Source organism: Homo sapiens, chromosome 20, assembly GCF_000001405.40.
Source record: "Homo sapiens chromosome 20, GRCh38.p14 Primary Assembly".
NCBI classification, from domain to species: Eukaryota; Metazoa; Chordata; class Mammalia; order Primates; family Hominidae; genus Homo; species Homo sapiens.
Window position 1 is genome coordinate 37,440,247 of NC_000020.11, and position 2,649 is coordinate 37,442,895.

A 2,649-nucleotide genomic window follows, 5' to 3' on the forward strand; every position below is an offset into this window, starting at 1 on the left:
TCCATTCACACCTTGACTGTGTCTGTGGCCAACTCTTCCTGCTGAGCTGGGACCCCCACATCCATTGCCCTGAGGGGCTGTTCCCCTGGCCACGGCCTCGACAGGGCTCCTTCCTGTGTCCTCCCCACAGAGAGCCCTGCTGAACCTTCCCCTGGAGAAGCTCCCCTGCCCCCCAAGGGCACTGGGACCCTCAGGAACGGCTAGGTTTGGACATCTTTCTTTGAGCTTCTTAAGAAGAGTCTGCATGTCTGGTGCTCAGCATGGAGGAGAGGCTGGCTGGAGGGGAGGACAGACAGACAGATGGATGAAAGTTGTGTCTTTCTAGAGGATCTCTTCTCTTCCTTTAACTCTCTTGTTCTCTTTCTCTTTCAAAAAATTAATGCTTATTGTGAAACCTCGTCTCTACAAAAAAAATCAGAAAATTTGCTGGGTGTGGTGGTATATGTGCCTATAGTCCCAGCTACCAGGGAGGCTGAGGCAGGAGGATCACCAGAGCCCAGGAGTTTGACGAGGCTGCAGTGAGCTGTGATCTCACCACTGCACTCCAGCCTGGGTGACAGAGCAAGAGCCTGTCTTGAAAAAAATATGAATATTTAATTACTTAAGTGACACATGACCACATCATCTTTGCATAAATAGTAAAGTATTACAAATAAGATTAAAGGTCTCCTTTGACACTCACTCATCCCATCCTGTTCTCTAGCCATTTCCTCTGGGGAAAACCAGTTCTTACTTTAGCAGGAATCATTCTATACTACATACATATTTTTAAACATAAAAATGTATATTTTTCCCCTATAGAATCTGATTTTTTTGGTAGGTTTTGGCTTAGGGCATTTTTTCCTCATAGAAATTGCATTGAGCTATGAATATTGCTCTTCAGTGGGACTTTGACTTGACATATTTTGGGGATCTCCTTCCATCTCAATATATAAAGCTGTCCATCTGCCTTTTTGTCAGCTGCATAGTATTCCAGCAGGCAGAGCTGTCATGGTTTATTGGCCATTCTTCTGGTGATGGGCATTTAGATGGTTTCTACTCTTTTGTAATTAAAATGAGGTTGCCGCGAACACCTGTGTCCCTGCTTCCCCTTCCCATTAGTGCGTTCTCCCTTCCGCCTCCTGGGGCCCTGGGTTACTCTTTCTGTCTCCTTTTCTTTCTTGTTCCCTCTCAGCTTCTCATCCCTCCCTGTTCTTTCTAGATGTTGCTGTCACTTTATGTGTCCCAGCATGGGGTGTGTGTGTTTGTGTTGTCTATTTTTTTCACTGTGGGTTTGTGTTAGTCAGGGTCCTAACAGGAAAGGGATGGAACACTTAAATTTAGGAAAATCTGAGGCGAGTTTGTTTACAAAGGTGCTGTATTGCAGGATGTGGGATTTTGCAGAAACCTAGAGCTAATAGTTGTGAGGCTGTGACCACCCCCTACTCCCTAAGGGGTGAAGGGTGGAAGTAATGAGTGACCAGGCCCTGGAGGCAAACTGTCACCTAGAGGGGCTGCCTTGCTGGGAGCTGAGACCTCTAGGAGAGGGACCACCCAGACTGAGGTGACCCGGGGGGATAAGCATCCTTATCTCATTCTCCTCCCCCATCATCTCCTGCTGGCCATCTCACTGGCCAAGCCCAGCTGGAAGCCAGAGGGAAGAGCACCTCCCTGAAGGGTGTCATCAGCCTCCTAGAGCAAAGGAGAAGGGTGAAAGGGACAGGGGAAGTAGAGGGCATCTAGAACTTTCTCTCTCCAAGCCCTTTATCAGGTTTTGTTTCCAGTCTCTGGGTTACTTCATCCACCCATCATTCCCATCCACACATCCATCCAGCCAATGTGCATGGATCCCCTCCCAGGTGCCATGTGCGGAGTGGCATACCTTTTGGAGGGTTTGGCTCCCCTGTGAGCCCATGCTGGGCCTCTGCCTGCCACCCCCACTGCCTGCTGGCATGGCTCACGCCCCCTCTTGTTTTCAACTTTCTTATTGACGTCTACTCCCCCTTCTCTTCCTGTATCTGACTTTGTCTTGCTCATCTCTGCTCTTTCCCTCTCTCTAGAGGAGAGTTATTGAATTTTGCTCTGAGGCTGTGCGTCATTCTTGCAGTGTATCTCTGTGTGTGTGTGTGTGTGTGTGTGTGTGTGTGTGTGTGTGTGTGTGTGTGCTTTGTGCATGTGCTGGCTGACTTTCCCCTGCAGCTCTCTCTTTTCTGGGGCTTGTGGAGTTTTGCTCTAAAGTTCTAAATTTCTTATTGATTTTCCTGATCCTAGTTTCCACCCCCTTTCCCAGAGGAAATTTTGGTTATCACAATGATGACCAGCAAAGTGGTCACATAGGAGTCTTTTTCTTCCTGGCTCTTTTATCTGATTTTATTCTTACTCCCTGAATTACTCCATCCATCCACCCATCCTTCCACTCCATCTATTCATCCATTCATTTATCCATTATCTATCATCCATCCAACCATCCATCCATCCATTCATCATCCATCCATCCATCTCTCCATCTGTTCTCCCATCCATTCATTCATCCATCCATCCATCTCTCCATCCATTCATTCATTATCCATCCATCCATCCATCCATCCATCCATCCATCCATCCATCCATCCACAAACACAGCAGCTACTGAGTGCCAGGACCCATGTCCTTTTTCCTCTCCAGTCACCG

At 47.7% G+C, this 2,649-nt stretch overlaps 1 annotated feature.

Moving 5' to 3' along the window:
- Positions 1,390-1,890: an enhancer, noted in NCBI's record as "H3K4me1 hESC enhancer chr20:36070038-36070538 (GRCh37/hg19 assembly coordinates)". NCBI's record gives its function as "activates a minimal SCP1, AML or CMV promoter by ChIP-STARR-seq in naive H9 embryonic stem cells {active_cell/tissue: H9 hESC(naive)}" and the evidence as "EXISTENCE:reporter gene assay evidence [ECO:0000049][PMID:30033119]".